Source organism: Homo sapiens, chromosome 1 (genome assembly GCF_000001405.40).
Source record: "Homo sapiens chromosome 1, GRCh38.p14 Primary Assembly".
In the NCBI taxonomy this organism is placed as follows: Eukaryota; Metazoa; Chordata; class Mammalia; order Primates; family Hominidae; genus Homo; species Homo sapiens.
Window position 1 is genome coordinate 54916749 of NC_000001.11, and position 15329 is coordinate 54932077.

At 44.5% G+C, this 15329-nt stretch overlaps 1 long non-coding RNA gene across 3 annotated transcripts in view; it reads left to right on the top strand.

The window, feature by feature from the left end:
• Positions 1 to 15329, top strand: part of LOC124904184 (uncharacterized) — a 72878-nt gene that overhangs the window by 15584 nt on the left and 41965 nt on the right. Inside the window, exon 3 of one of the 3 annotated variants that reach the window (XR_007066102.1) lies at positions 8870 to 9717. The exons of the other annotated variants lie outside the window; for them this stretch is intronic. This is a non-coding gene — a long non-coding RNA (uncharacterized LOC124904184). Of the gene's footprint in view, positions 1 to 8869; positions 9718 to 15329 lie in introns of those variants that run through there. 3 annotated transcript variants of the gene reach the window in all.

Genomic DNA, 15329 nt, shown 5'->3' on the forward strand with positions numbered 1-15329 from the left:
ATAATTTTTACTTCCCTCAGGAGGCCAGGTTTCTCCCTCTTGAAGAGTATATTGTGGCCTGGCAGGACTGCAGAAGAATATAAGTCATTTCTTTCTTAGCGTCTGAGGGTCAAATTGGTCCCAATTCTCCAGAATACATCTTAGGGGCGTTTTTGCCTTGGGGGGAACGTTTCCCATCTGAAAAAAGAACATAGGGATGACAGCACCCCTAGTCATTTTCTGATGAGCATTAGTCCTAGAGCGTCCTCTGTGGTCCTAATGCTTATTCCTTTCCAGGGTGCGTAACAACCCATGGACCTCTGCTTATCGGATTAGTTACGCTCACCAATGTAGCAGTCCTGCACCTGTTTTCCCACCTTCCTTGACACAAAGAAAGGGGTCCAGGCTGCTGGATTCTAGTGGTCCTTTACCAGCGTGCCCAACATTGCGTTTGTGCTCAGGGGTGAGTCCTAGAGCTGGGCTGGGTACCTGAGTATTTCATAACAACCCAGCTGCCCCATCAAGATGCATTCCCATAAGCAACTGTTCTTATGCAAATTCATTTCAGAGAGGGTGTAAGTAACCTTTTGAGTCAGGATTGAGAGTCTTTTTTGATTCTGTAAGTACTTTAAGGCTTGGCTGAGTGCAAACAGCTCCCATGTTTGAGGAGACCAATTATTAGGCAATTCTTCCAATTCTGCTTCCACAAGAGTCTCCCTATCAATTACTGAATATCGTTTGTGGTTTTTTCCTCAATCACCTGGAAGGAACCATATATTGTCCTGTCCTGAAGGGAGTTCCTCCTAGGTCTGGTTGGACCTTTGTATGGTAATTAAGATTTAAATCCCATTAGGAAATCTGCTGGGTTAGGGGAATTATCAGTGGTTAGTGTTAAATCACCTTTTGCCAACAGAATAGCCCCATACTTTAAGATTTTTGAGTTAGTAAGCTACCTTTTTGCTTTTTTTGACTTAGAATAATTCTGAACTGGTGAGGTGTGCTCACAATGAGTTTTCCTCTAAAAGTTACTTCTCTACTTTCTTCTGTTAGCAAAGCAGTTGCCACTACAGATTGAATGCATTTGGGCCACCCACAGGTTACCGGGTTAAGGATTTTTAATAGGAAGTCTACAGGTTGTCAGTGGTCTCAGTGTTTTCAGGCTATGCCCTTGTTTACACTGACAGGTAGTACTGGAGTGTTACAGGGTCATGGAGAAGATCTTCAATTATCAATTATAGGTTTTAAATTTACCCTGGCTTTTAAAGGAATAGGGCACAATGTTTTTTTTGTTTTTGTTTTTTAACTATTTCTTTTTCTTTGTCTCTCTCCCTCCCCTCCCTCTCCCTCCCTCCTCCATCTCTCTCTCCTCTTAGCCATTACAAACTTGGGGCCCTGGCAAGGGTGGTGGGGAACGGGTCCCACATAACTGCCCATGTCAAGAGCTGTATAACTAAATCGGGAGGGACACCAGGGATAAGACTCCTTGGGTTTATAGCCTAGGGGCCTAAGAACTCAGAATAGAGCTTCCTTAGATCCCTTTGGAGATACAACTTGCCAGAGGAAATATAAGTCTGAACCATTAGTACCTAGGAGGCAGGGATCAGAGGAAGTACATTCAGAGGTAAGAAGAATTTTGGGGCTATACTTTCAAGAAGTCGTGGTCGGGACCCAGGAGGTATGGGTCAGAAGGAAAGGTAGGGGCGCACGCATGGGTGACTGTTGAGTAGAGACTTCTGGCTGTGCCATGATCTCAACCGGCTAATGCCGGGAGTTTGAGACAACAGCTTTCTGCCTCTAGTCGGCTCTGGGCTTCCCCAAGAATATTGAAAGTGGAAGGTGGTTCTAGGCAGATGAATGCTCCCAACCCAGAAGGGTTGGGGGTTGTTAGAGAGCCCTTAATACTCACACCTGAATCTTAAGTCCAGTGGCCACGCTAATCGTTTTTAACTGGCCGACAGGTGCCCGGTTATTTTCCTCCAATTCTAAGGAATGATAGGACAGAATAGCAAGTGAAAGTGGTCCAATTATTACTCACTGCTTTGGAGGTCCCTTCATGGTTGCCAAAATGTTATTGGGGGGTCGTTGCTCCCAGAGCTCCCAAGATGGTGGCGGGCCTCTTCCAAGATGGTGGCAAGCCTCTTGTTCTCTGACCTGGGGTTCTTGGCCTCACGGATTCCAAGAGATGGAATCTTGGGCCATGCGGTGAGTGTTATAGCTCTATTAGAAGCTGTGGGTCACGGAAGAGAACTGTGGAACCCAGTGACTAGTGTTCAGCTTGATTAGGATGAACCCCGGCACTTAGCCATGCAGGAACAATGGCAAGCCTTCAGCCCAATCAGGAGTGGTAATGGATCAGAAGCACAGCAGACACCCTGCCGGATTCAGAGGGATAGAAGTCAGTGGAGGGTCTGTGACAGCGGCAAACAGCAGTGGTGGACGGCGAGCGAAAGCTCAGCTCCAGCCGTAACAAACATGGACTAGAAGAGAGTGCAGCTGCAAGATTTAATAGAGTGAAAACAGAGATCCCATACAAAGGGAGGGGACCCAAAGAGGGTAGCCGTTGCTGGCTCGAATGCCTGGGTTTATATCCCGATCATTGTCCCTCCCGCTGTGCTCTCAGGTGATAGATGATTGGCTATTTCTTTACCTCCTGTTTTTGCCTAATCAACATTTTAGTGAGCTCTCTCTGGTGTGAGCTAAGTTGCAAGCCCCATGTTTAAAGGTGGATGCGGTGACCTTCCCAGCTGGGCTTAGGGATTCTTAGTCCACCTAGGAAATCCAGCTAGTCCTGTCTCTCACTGGGAAGCAGGTCTGCTCTCTCCGTTTTACAGAAAGAAAATCAGCTCAGGTAGGCCAAGTAACAAACATACCCAGTATCACTTGGCTTGTGAGTAACTGAGCCAGGATCCCACACTCAAGTCTGTGGCACTCTGGAGCTCATGCTATTTCCATTTTCTCAGAATGCTCTGAAAGTTCCATATAAATATTGCTAATTTGGAGGAGGCTGAGCCAGGAAGAGGTGGCCACGAGGGCTGAGTAGGTAGTGTGGTGAGTATGATGGACTTTGGAGTCAAACAAATCTGGGTTGAGCTCTGTCTATGCAATTACTCATTATATGACCTTGTGTGTATTTCTACTCTCTCTAAGCCTCAATTTCCTCATCTTTACAATAGGTATAATAATAGCATCCACTTAAAAAGGCTGCTATTCGTAGAAAATAAATTAGTGCTTATAAAGCACTTAGCAAAGTGGCCAGTACAAGCAAGTACTCAATAAATATCTCTGTTTTTACTACTAAACATATGTGTTCAGCAATTATAAAATTGTAATATAGATGGGTTGCATCTAGACACATGTACATTATAGCAATGAACATCATTGTCACCTTTCCAATCCCATTGCACACCAACTATTTCTGGCCCTGGACTACGTCAACAACCTCTTAATAGATTCCTGGCCTCCAATTCCTCTCCCTTTGGTAAGCCAGCCTACATACGCTGACAGGCTGATCTCCCTAAAACCTAATTCTGATTATGCATTACTATGCATCATCCCCCTGCTGAAATACTGTCTTCAAAGTAAGTCCAAGTTTCTCTTCTTGGCTTTCAAGGACTTGCATATGATACAGCCCCAAATTCCTGCTCCCACCTTGTCCCCACTATTGTCCCACCTTGGTTGTCCCACCTGCTCCCACTTTGTCCCACCTAGTCCCCAGTATGTGGACTCTGGTTCCAGTTGAACTGAGTTGTGGGCTTTTATTTATAGACACAATTTCTCCTGCATTTTCTCCATCCAAAAATGGCCACCCATCTCCACACACCTGCCCTCAAATTGGCTTGCTGTCAAATATTTTCAGTGACCCAGTACTACTTCTCTCATGAAACCTTTCCTGCCATCCCCAAAGAGATGTGAGCAACTTATTCCTTTGAACTCATTTTGCCTTTATTTTTAAAATTATAGTGGTGTTATGAAAAGAGCTTAGGTTTTGCCACCAGTTAGACCTGGGTTCGAGTTCTGAATCTTCCTTTTATTAGTGTATCATGTCCCTGAGATTAAATTCCTTGTCTGTAAGTTGGGGATAATAAAATCCTTTTCCTATGGTGTCTGTGAAGACTAAATGAGACCAAGGCACAGAAGGCCCCCTGCTCAGAGCCTTCAGTGTCTGTCTTGCTCCTTTCCCCTGTGTGGGTAACATGTTTTATGTCCCCTATTTGTTGAGAGTAGGGACTTCACCTTAATCACCTTTGTATTTCTTTCTTTCTTTTTATTTGAGACAGGGTCTCACTCTGTCACCCAGGCTGGAGTGCAGTGGCACAATCTTGGCTTACTTCAACCTCTGCCCTCTGGGTTCAAGTGATTCTCCTGCCTCAGCCTCCTGAGTAGCTGGGATTACAGGGGTTGGCCACCACGCCTGGCTAATTTTTGTATTTTTAATAGAGATGGGGTTTCACCATGTTGGCCAGGCTGGTCTGGAACTCCTGACCTCAGGTGATCCGCCCACCTGAGCCTCCCAAAGTGCTGAGATTACAGGTGTGAGGCACTATGCCCAGCCTACGTTTGTATTTCTCACAGTGCTTAGAATAGTACTTTCTGGGGTTTTTTTTTTGTTTGTTTTGTTTTATTTTTTTTGAGATGGAGTCTTGCTCTCTCACCCAGGCTGAGTGCAGTGGCGCCATCCTGGCTCACTTCAAGCTCTGCCTCCTGGGTTCATGCCATTCTCCTGCCTCAGCCTCCCAAGTAGCTGGGACTACAGGCACCCGCCACCACACCCAGCTAATTTTTTTTTTGTATTTTTAGTAGAGACGGTGTTTCACCATGTTAGCTGGGATGGTCTCGATCTCCCGACCTCATGATCCGCCCACCTCGGCCTCCCAAAGTGTTGGGATTACAGGCGTGAGCCATCGCGCCCAGCCAAATAGTACTTTCTACACAGATGCTCAGTAAATACATTTTGGACTGAACTAACTACCACTTACTAGCTAAGTGTGCTCCATTTTGTTAACCTCTTTCAGCATTCCTTTTCTTGTCCTTAGGGTTATTGACATTAAATATAAATCTTTATGTTTTTTCCAGCTGTGTCATTTTTTCATTCATGTGTTAGGTGGTCTCCTAGGTGCTAGGGATGCAATGGTGAGTAAGTCAGGTATCATATAACTAGAACTCTGTTCCATAGTAATGAAAACTCAGCCTAGCAGTGGTCCCAGAGTGTGGACTAGCAGGGTTAGTAGAGGCAGATGTTGGCGTTAGTGAGAATGTGTGTAGCAGCTTGAAAGAGTTGGAGCCTCTAGGAAGAAAGCATTCTTTCATTGTAGGTGGAAAACTAATTGTTTCCCTTGGCTTAGTGTGTCACATTGTACAGGCTGTTTTTAGAACACGTATTGAGATAGAATTTGTATATCATAAAATTCACCTGTTCAAAGTGTACAGTTCAATACTTCTTTAGTATATTTACAGAGTTGTGCAACCATCACCATTTCTAATTTTAGGACAGTTTCATCCCCCAAAGAAACCAGCATGTTTATTTTATTTTAACTTTTAAGTTCAGGGTTACAGGTGCAAGTTTGTTACATAGGTAAACTTGTGTCATAGGGTTTGTTGTACAGATTATTTCATCACCCAGATATCAAGCTTAGTACCCATTAGTCGTTTTTCCTGATCCTCTTCCTCCTCTCACCCTCCAACAGGCCCCAGTGTGTGTTGTTCCTCTCTAAGTGTCCATGTGTTCTCATTATTTAGATTATTTAGCTCCCACTTGAAAGTGAAAACATGTGGTATTTGGTTTTCTGTTTCTGTGTTACTTTGGTAAGAATAGTGGTCTCCAGCTCCATCCATGTCCCTGCAAAGGACATGATCGCATTCTTTTATATGGCTGCATAGTATTCCGTGGTGTATATGGATGACATTTGCCTTATCCAGTCTATCATTGATGGGCATTTAGGTTGATTCCATGTCTTTGCTATTGTGAATAGCAACACAGTTATATTTGTGAAACAGGCTGAGTTAATACCTTTGCCCAAATCAAGTCCTAGCTTTCTTCACCAGCACAGTAATGTTGCTCAGCTAGTTATGAAGATGATAGGGTTGAACAGTCATAGTATGATTCTCAAGTAAGTGGGCTTGAAACTAAATGTCAACCCAAGATCCTCTGAGCAGACTCCCCAGCCAAATTAAAGGCAGACGCCCCAGCTAACTTAATCTTCATTACATGCAGCAACAATCCTATCAGCCTTTTGCCCAACCAGCTTCATTGCTCTCTGCCAAGGACAAATTCCTTCTGCTGGCAGTCACAGGCTAACCCAGCTGGAGCCGGGCCTCTCCTCTCATTATTCCTCACATGTGCTCTTACATCCCCTTCCCCGCAAACTCCACTCACCCCAATTATCTCTCTGTCCTGTCTTCAAATGTGCTCTTGCAACAACAAAACCCTCTCCTGATCCTGCCTCCCTCCCTCCCCACCCCAACCATTGCCCTCATGTCTCATTTTCTCTTTACACAACAAGCACCTTTGCAAAATAATACCTTTGCCAAAGTCAAGTCCTACCTTTCCTCACCAGCACAGTAATGTTGCTCAGCTAGTTTGTGAAGACAAAAGGGTTGAGAAATCATAATGTGGAAATACACCTTAATTTGATCTTTGGTATTCATTTGGTAAATTGGCCTGAACATGTCATAACCCTAGATGTCCCCTGGGAAGACTCTGTTAAAGGCAAACACCTCAGCTAAGTCAGTCTTCTCCAGGTGCCTCAAGGATCCTATCAGCCCCTTGCCCAGCCAGCATCTCTTGCCTTCTCTTAAAGACAAGTTCTTGGCTGGGCACAATGGCTCATGCCTGTAATCCCAGCACTCTGGGAGGCTGAGGCAGGAGGATCACTTGAGGTCAGGAGTTTGAGACCAGCCTGGCCAACATGGTGAAACCCTGTCTCTACTAAAAATACAAAAATTAGCCGGGCTTGGTGGCACATGTCTGTAATCCTAGTTACTAGGGAGGCTGAGGCAGAAGAATTGCTTGAACCTGGGAGGCAGAGGTTGCAGTGAGACAAGATCACACCACACTGCAACCAGCCTGGGCAACAGAGCGAGACTCCATCTAAAACAAATAAATAAATAAAAAAGACAAGTTCCTTGGCTGAGGAGTGGCCATACTGGCTGCTCCCACTTCCTTGCTCCTATACCCACAGTAGCCTTGCTTCAGCTCCTGTGACTCTCTGCTAATCACTGGCTTCTAGGCCACCAATGGCTTTAGAATTGCTAGATCCAGTGCACTCTTGTCAGTCCTCCCACCTGCCTTCTCAGTCCCTCTCTCCTCCTGAAACCCATCGGGGAACCTGCTCCCAATAGTCACGTAGGTTCTTTTCTATTTTCCCTAAGCATCGGCCGGATTGAGAAACAAAGGGACAGAGTACAAAAGAGAGAAATTTTAAAGCTGGGCATCCAGGGGAGACATCACATGTCAGTAGGTTCTGTGATGCCCCTTGAGCCATAAAACCAGCAAATTTTTATTAGTGATTTCAAAAGGGGAAGGAGTGTACGAATAGGGTGTGGGTCACAGAGATCACATGCTTCACAAGGTAATAGAATATCCCAAGGCAAATGGAGGCAGGGTGAGATCACAGGACCACAGGACCGGGGCGAAATTAAAATTGCTAATGAAGTTTCGGGCACGCATTGTCATTGATAACATCTTATCAGGAGACAGGGTTTGAGAGCAGACAACTGGTCTGACCAAAAATTTATTAGGCGGGAATTTCCTTGTCCTAATAAGCCTGGGAGTGCTATGGGAGACTGGGGCTTATTTCATCCCTACAGTTTCGACCATAGAAGATGGCCACACCCAAGGGGGCCATTTTAGAGGCCTACCCTCAGGGGGGCATTCTCTTTCTCAGGGATGTTCCTTGCTGAGAAAAAGAATTCAGCGATATTTCTCCCATTTGCTTCTGAAAAAAGAGAAATATGGCTCTGTTCCACCCGGCTCACCAGCAGTCAGAGTTTAAGGTTATCTCTCTTGTTCCCTGAACATTGCTGTTATCCTGTTCTTTTTTCAAGGTGCCCAGATTTCATATTGTTCAAACACACATGCTCTACAATTTGTGCAGTTAACGCAATCATCACAGGGTCCTGAGGTGACATACATCCTCCTCAGTTTACGAGATGACAGGATTAAGAGATTAAAGTAAAGACAGGCATAGGAAATCCCAAGGGTATTGATTGGGGAAGTGATAAGTGTCCATGAAATCTTCACAATTTATGTTCTTCCACCATGGCTTCAGCTGGTCCCTCCATTTGGGGTCCCTGACTTCCTGCAACAGAAACCCTGTCCTCCCATGGCTCTGTGAACAGCAGCCTCCTTCCATCAGTCTGACCCCTTGGCCCCATGCCTGGCTCTGCCCCTACCCCAGCCCCAGCCTTGGTGTGGCTCAGGGTCCCCTTCTTGCCCATTGCTCTCTGAAAACTTTACATTCCCCACTCCTGGTGTGACCTCACTCATCACCTACATGCAGAAGCTCCCAAACCTGTCTAGGCAGCAAGTCTAGCAGGCAGAAATGTAGTTTTCAAGCAAGACGCCTTGGCACTGATCTTCTGATTTCTGCGAAGGGTCTCAAGAGTCAGCTCTGTTTGTGTTACAGCTCTCTCAGTCTCACGTTTTACAAACGTCCCTTCAGATTCCAGTCTTTTTGGTTTGTCTGTTCACATCCTGTGAATTCTTTGAGACCCAGCTTCAATTTTGCTCTCAGGAGGCCTGCCCTGATGTCCTGACCCACACTGATTCTACAGTAGAGTCTACAAAATGATCCTGAGTCCCTGCTGGTGCTGGGTGTGTCTGCCCTTCATTTCATCCTTATCACAATCTTGTGAGTTTCGTGTAATTCTGCTCCTCTCCCTTCTTTTTCAGGTGAGGAAATTAAAGTTGAGAGACACTAAGCAACTGCCCCAGGCTTCCATGGCAGAATGAGGATTCAGGTCGAGCCTGTCTAACTGTTAACCCCATCCCTTTCCATCACATTTTTATGCCTACCTAGCATGGGCCTGGTTGGCAGGGCTCTTGAAGTAGAGCTTCTCAAATGCAACTGCACCTGTGCATCTTGCTAAGATGTGGATTCTGATGCAGGACTTCTGGGTGGGGGCTGAGACTCCATTTCTAACAAGTCCCCAAGTCATTCCAATGCTGCTGGCCTGCAAAGCACAATGTGAGAAGCAGGAGTTCAGCCCCCGCCCCCCTCATTTTGCAGCAGAAGAAATTGAGGTTGTTGAAGTCAAGTGACTTACTTCAAGTGGCATGGCACGTTAGTGGAAGAGGCAGGATACAGACATGGGAATGCTAATTTCCAGTCCAGAGCCTTGCCTTTACCATGTGTGTCAGTTACTAGGCTATTGTCTCTTTGCTCCAACCCCATCCTTCCGCACTTAGCTTTGGATGCTGGGGTTGTGCTATGGACTGAATATTTGTGTCCCTCCCCAAATCCATGTGTTGAAGCCTAATCCTCAGTGGGATGGAATTAGGAGGTGGGGAAGTAATTAGGTCAGGAGAGTGGAGCCCTCATAAGTGGGATTAGTGCCTTCATAAGAGACAAGAGACAGCTTGCATCCTCGTGCTCTGCAATCCACTGTATGAGCGTAGAATGAGAAGACAGCTGTCTGCAAAGAAGAGTGTCCTCATCAGACTCTAGATCAGCTGGCACCTTGATCTTGGACTTCTCAGCCTCCATAACTGTGAAAAATAAATGTTATTTGAGATACTCATTCTGTGGTATTTTGTTATAGTAGCCCAAAGAGACTAAGATAGGCTGGGACTATGCAAACCATATTTTCCTGCTTTGCCCACTGGCCCCATGTTAGGATCTGTGCATGTGCTCAAGGAGAAAGAGGAGAGAGAGAGAGAGAGAGAGAGAGAGAGAAAGAGATGAGAGAGAGAGAGAGAGAGGAGAGAGAGAGAGAGAGAGGAGAGAGAGAGAGAGAGAGAGGAGAGAGACAGGGAGAGACAGGGAGAGACAGAGACAGGGAGAGAGACAGGGGAGGAGGGATGTCTAGTTTCCTCTTCCTGGGCGCATCACCCAGCAACACTGCCATTGTAGTAGCATTGCCTTTCTGTAACAGCAGCTGGATCCAGTTTGCATTTTCCCAGTCCTTGCAGAACCATCCTCATCACCATCAGCCTCAAAGGGACCAGGACCAGCCAATCAGGACCCTGTCCCCAGGGGTTGGGTTCCAGACCCACAAGAACCTCCTTTAGCACTTACTTTTAATAATTCCAACCTCCTCCCTTCGTTCCCCAAACCTAGGAATGGAGGCAGCTTCTTGCACTTGCCACCTCCATGATATTTAAGTGTGTAATTCTTGACTTTTCTGCTACCAAGTCAGCAATTTAAACCTAGCTTACATTTCTCTATACTCTCTGTTAAAACAACTGGACCTTGACTAACCTACTCTATGATCTGTTAATTTAAAAGTAAACAAAATATCCCCACTAGACTCTGAATTACTGGAAGGCAGCCACTGGGTCATTGTGATGAGTCCAGCCTCTGTCAGAGTGAGAGCTCGATGTATAGTAGCAAATACACACATACACACACACACACACACACACACACCAGAATGGGTGAAGCTACTACATGCTTTTCCCTTAATGCTAGGTCCATAGAAAGGCCTTATTATTAACTATTTGCTAGTTGAATTGAAAATAATTTTTTAGCTTTCTAGAAGTGGTGAGGAATGAAAAAGCGTCCAGGTTTTAGAATAAACAGGACTTCTTCTAACTGTAGTTCTCCCGCTTGTTAGGCAAATTGCTTGCTCTTCCTTTCCATTTCCTCCTCTGGAAGGTGGAGTTAATAATACTTTCCTTCTGGTTATTAATAGAACTAGAAGTAATGTCAGTGAAAGGCTGACTCCTGTGATTGGAGCCTCCTTTGGAGAGCTGCCAGAGCACAACATGTTAAAAGGAGATTAAGTCAATCTTTGAAACAGAACAAGAACAAGAAGCACATGGTGAGTTAGGAAGGTTGAGTTGTCCGTGAAGATGAGATTAGTGGGAGATAATTTTCTGATGAAGTAACAATAGGAAGAAGTTGAGGCCTAAAGTCTTCTCAGAGAAGATTTGGGGTTTATCAGGAATTTTTGGATTTATGAGGAGTCTGGGGTCCACAGAGGGGCTATTCAGTTCATAAACATGAGGACCCTCTAGATGCCAGACCCTGTGCTGGGAACTAGGGGGCAGAGAGGAATGAGATAGGGTTGTTCTTGGAGGCACTCAGGACATTCAATTAATTCATTCAACCCATATTCACCGAGGGACTAAAGCAGGCCAGGACCTGGGGCTACAAAGATGAATTAGAGTAGGCTCAGACCTCAGGAATTCAGAATGTAATAAGAGGCAAGTGAGAATGAAACAATGGCGGGCACCTAAACCTTGGAGGATGCCCTGCTATTTTTTTTTTTTCTCGAGACAGTGTCTTCTTCTGTCACCCAGGCTAGAATGCAGTGACGCCATTTCGGCTCACTGTAGCTTCAACATGCCGGGCTCAAGTGATCCTCTCACCTCAGCCTCCCCAAAATGCTAGGATTACAGAGGTGAGCGACTGTGCCTGGCTGATGCCTTGCTGTATAAACTGCAGCCTGCTGGCTCTCCCTCTCCAACCCAGCCTGCTAACTCACCACGGTTCCATTCACATCCCTAAAGCTTAGCTGTACCCTGAAAAAGAGCTTAGCAGTTGAGAACTCTGGTTCAGGGGACAGAAATATCTGGGTTCAAATCCTAGTTCCTCACTTGTTACTCATGCGGCCTTGAACAAGTCTGAGCCAGATTCCACCTCTAAACTTAGATATTATGTAACCTCATGAGGTTGCAGTGAGGATTAAACAAGATAATGTGTGCAAAGTGCCCAGCACAGTGACTGGCACAGGATTAAGTGCTCAATCAATGCTAGTTATTGCTACTACCTTTCATTAAAGGCTGCTTATAGGGTGGGTGCTTTGCATACTTCATCTCATTTAATATTCAGATAATCCTGCAAGGTAAGAATCATGAATCTTTTTGAGTGTTAATTAATGTCCTATATCTCGTTTCAGTGGAGGAGTAAGTTTCTATCTCACTTCCCAGGGGAGTGACTTATCATATGGAGAGGTTTTAAAGAAGGTGAGCGTGGGGCCCTCTCTTTTTGTAGAAAAGCCTGTCCTTGGCATGTAGAGCTTTTCAACTTTAGTACCCAGATCCTCCCATCACCCAGCACTGTTTCTCTCTATTCTGTTCCAATTCATACATGACACAGCTGCTGGGAAACCTTCAATGGCCCCATTGCCTACAGAATAAAGCTCCAACTCCTTATCCTGGCATTGAAGACCCTCCAGGTGTGGCCTACCCTACCTTTCCAGTCTTTATTCTAGTTCACTCCACCACATGCCCCATGAACTCAGGGCCAGCTATGGGGGACAGCAGTACTACCTGGGCTAAATAATTTAAAGATTTTTGTTGAGCTATAAAACTTTTTGCAGTGTCTTAAGCTATCTCACCAATAGTGGTGAATAGGTTTTGAATAATATCTCTGTTGACATAAACTCTAGCATTTGGAATTGGTATTCTCAGGATGTTTTCACCTATATTATCAACATATCTTATTAACATTGACCTTTTAGCTCTATAATGAAGAGAAAAAGGGGGTCCTTCTATATGTTTGTATAGGGATAAGGGGGTTAGAAAATGTTCCAGCAAGTGTAAACCTTTTATTTGTAATCTGTTGAGGCATTGGTGTGTCCATCTTTGTGTAGGTGATTCAGACCACATGTCACACACAAACACACGTCCTGGGGGAGCACAGGTGGTACCCCTGAAGGTGTGCTCACTAATAGATTCATTCATGGGGAATGCTGACAACACCAAATTGAACCATGGGTTCCTTTCTTTGCAAGCTTTTCAGAATTTGTTTATATCATAGCCTATATATAGGTATGGTTGGCATAGTAAGGACTTATCTTTAACTTTGTTCATATCATCTAGAGTGTATTTGTTTACCCAGTAGCACATGGATTGAGGAGGTCTCATGATATAGAATGGATTTCTACCATTAAAAACAAGGGACAAATTAAAACAAGGGATAGCAGTATTTGGGTTATACAGTAGTAAGACCTGGAAAGTTAATCCAGCAAGATGTCAGTCTAAATAAGTGGTGACTTTAACTTTAGGGACATCTGAGAAGTCAGTGACAGGTGTTACTATGGCCTATATTGGTCATGAATGAAGCTAGGAATCATATAACAAATCCAACAATCTGATAGGTTTTCTCCAGTGTGATACTTAGAGATAACTTAACCAAAGTGTTAACATGCCATCCTTTGCATTGGGACAGAGAGACAACTATAAGGAAAAATTATTTAAGGAAGTTAGTTAAAGTAAACAAGGCAAATGTCCTACTTTACATAGGATGGTAACAATTATCTATCTTCCTAAGACAACAATAATTACAGCTACTATAACGTAAGTATAAGCATTCATTTAGGTATAGGACTGGTCTCATGTCTTGGGAAACCTGACCATCTCTGATGTTGTCGTCTTTTTGTCCAGGCATTGGCTTAAACTGAAGATCACCTTCTGGTGTAACAGTCCATTCAGGAGGTTTTGCCCTCTTTAGATAAACAGATTCCAGGAGTCTATGCCTTTTAATTTAGCTGCACAAGGATTCGAAAGCAGTACTTGGTAGGATCCATTCCACCATGGTTGGAGAGTCCTTTAAAAGATGTTTCCAATGAGAAAATCTCCAGGTTGAAGTCTGTGGTTCTTGAGATTTTCATCTCTTGGGAGCTCAATGTGAAACACTTTAACAAATATTTTTAGTTAATTGTTTCATAAGATCATTAATAAGTGAATATATCTTCTTTTATTATTAAGGAGGTGCAATTTCCAGGAGAGAATTTCATAAGTCTGTCTGTTATAATTTCAAATGGAGATAACTGGTGTTTACTTAAAGGAGTCAATTTTAGGTTTGGTAAAACCAGTGGAAGAGCTTTTGGCCAATGTGTTAGTCTGTTTGGCATTGCTATAAACGAGTACCTGAGACTGGGCAATTTATAAAGAAAAGAGGTTTATTTGGCTCACAGTTCTACAGGCTGTACAAGAAGCACAGTACTAGCATCCACTTCTGGTAAAGCCTCAGGAACTTACAATCATGGCAGAAGGTGAAGGGGGAGCAGGTATATACCACATGGCAAGAGAGGAAGCAAGAGAGAGGGAGGAGGTGCCAGGCTCATTTAAACAACCAGCTCCAGCTGGGTGTGGTGGCTCACACCTGTAATCCCAGCACTTTGGGAGGCTGAGGTGGTTGGATCGCTTGAGGCCAGGAGTTCGAGACCAGACTGGCCAACATGGTGAAACCCTGTCTCTACTAAAAATGCAAAAATGAGCTAGGCATGGTGGTATGCACCTGTAGTCCCAGCTACTCAGGAGGCTGAGGCACGAGAATCACTTGAACTCAGGAGGTGGATGTTGGGTTCCAGCCTGGGTGACAGAGACTCTGTCTCAAAAAACAACAAACAAACAAACAAACAAACAAACAAAAAACCAGCTCTCCTGTGAACTCATTACCATGAGGAAAGCACCAAGGGATCTGCCCCCTATGACCCAAACATCTACCACCAGGCCCCACCTCCAACACTGGGGATCACATTTCAACATGAGATTTGGAGGGAACAAATATCAAAACTGTATCAGCCAAAGAATTTTAAAAGCCTTGATTAATTTTTTTAACTGGGTTTTTATTATTTCATTTGTGTGTTCCACTAATGCAGATAGCTGGGGTGATAAGCACAATGGAAATGTTGAAGAATAGGCCAGATTCTACATACTGATTGAATTATCTGTCCAGTGAAGTGAGTGTCTCTGTTGCTGTGAAGTCCCAGAGGAAACTCCAGCTTGGAATAATCTTTTTAAAGAGAATTTTACTTACTGCTAAAGCCGTTGCTCTTTTGCATGGAAATAACTCAATGAGAAAACATGCAGATCATTACCAGGACATATCTGTAGCTCTGTGAAGGTGGCTGCCAGATAAAATCCAGTTGCCATATTTCAAAGGGAGCCTTAGCTAAAGGAAAGTGTCTTTGGGAGCCATGTAATGGTTTTCCCTGACTATACCTTGTGCAAATATGACAAGAGTTGTATGTCTTATGAGCTATAGTCAGAGAAGGCTTTCAATAATATTGTTTTCCCCAAGCAACCATTCTGTCAGGACTCTAGCGAGTTAGATCATATACCCATGTTAAAAATAACTGTAATTTGGCCAGGCGTGGTGGCTCATGCCTGTAATCCCAGCACTTTGGGAGGCTGAGGCATGCGGATCACCTGAGGTCATTGAGACCAGCCTGGCCAACAT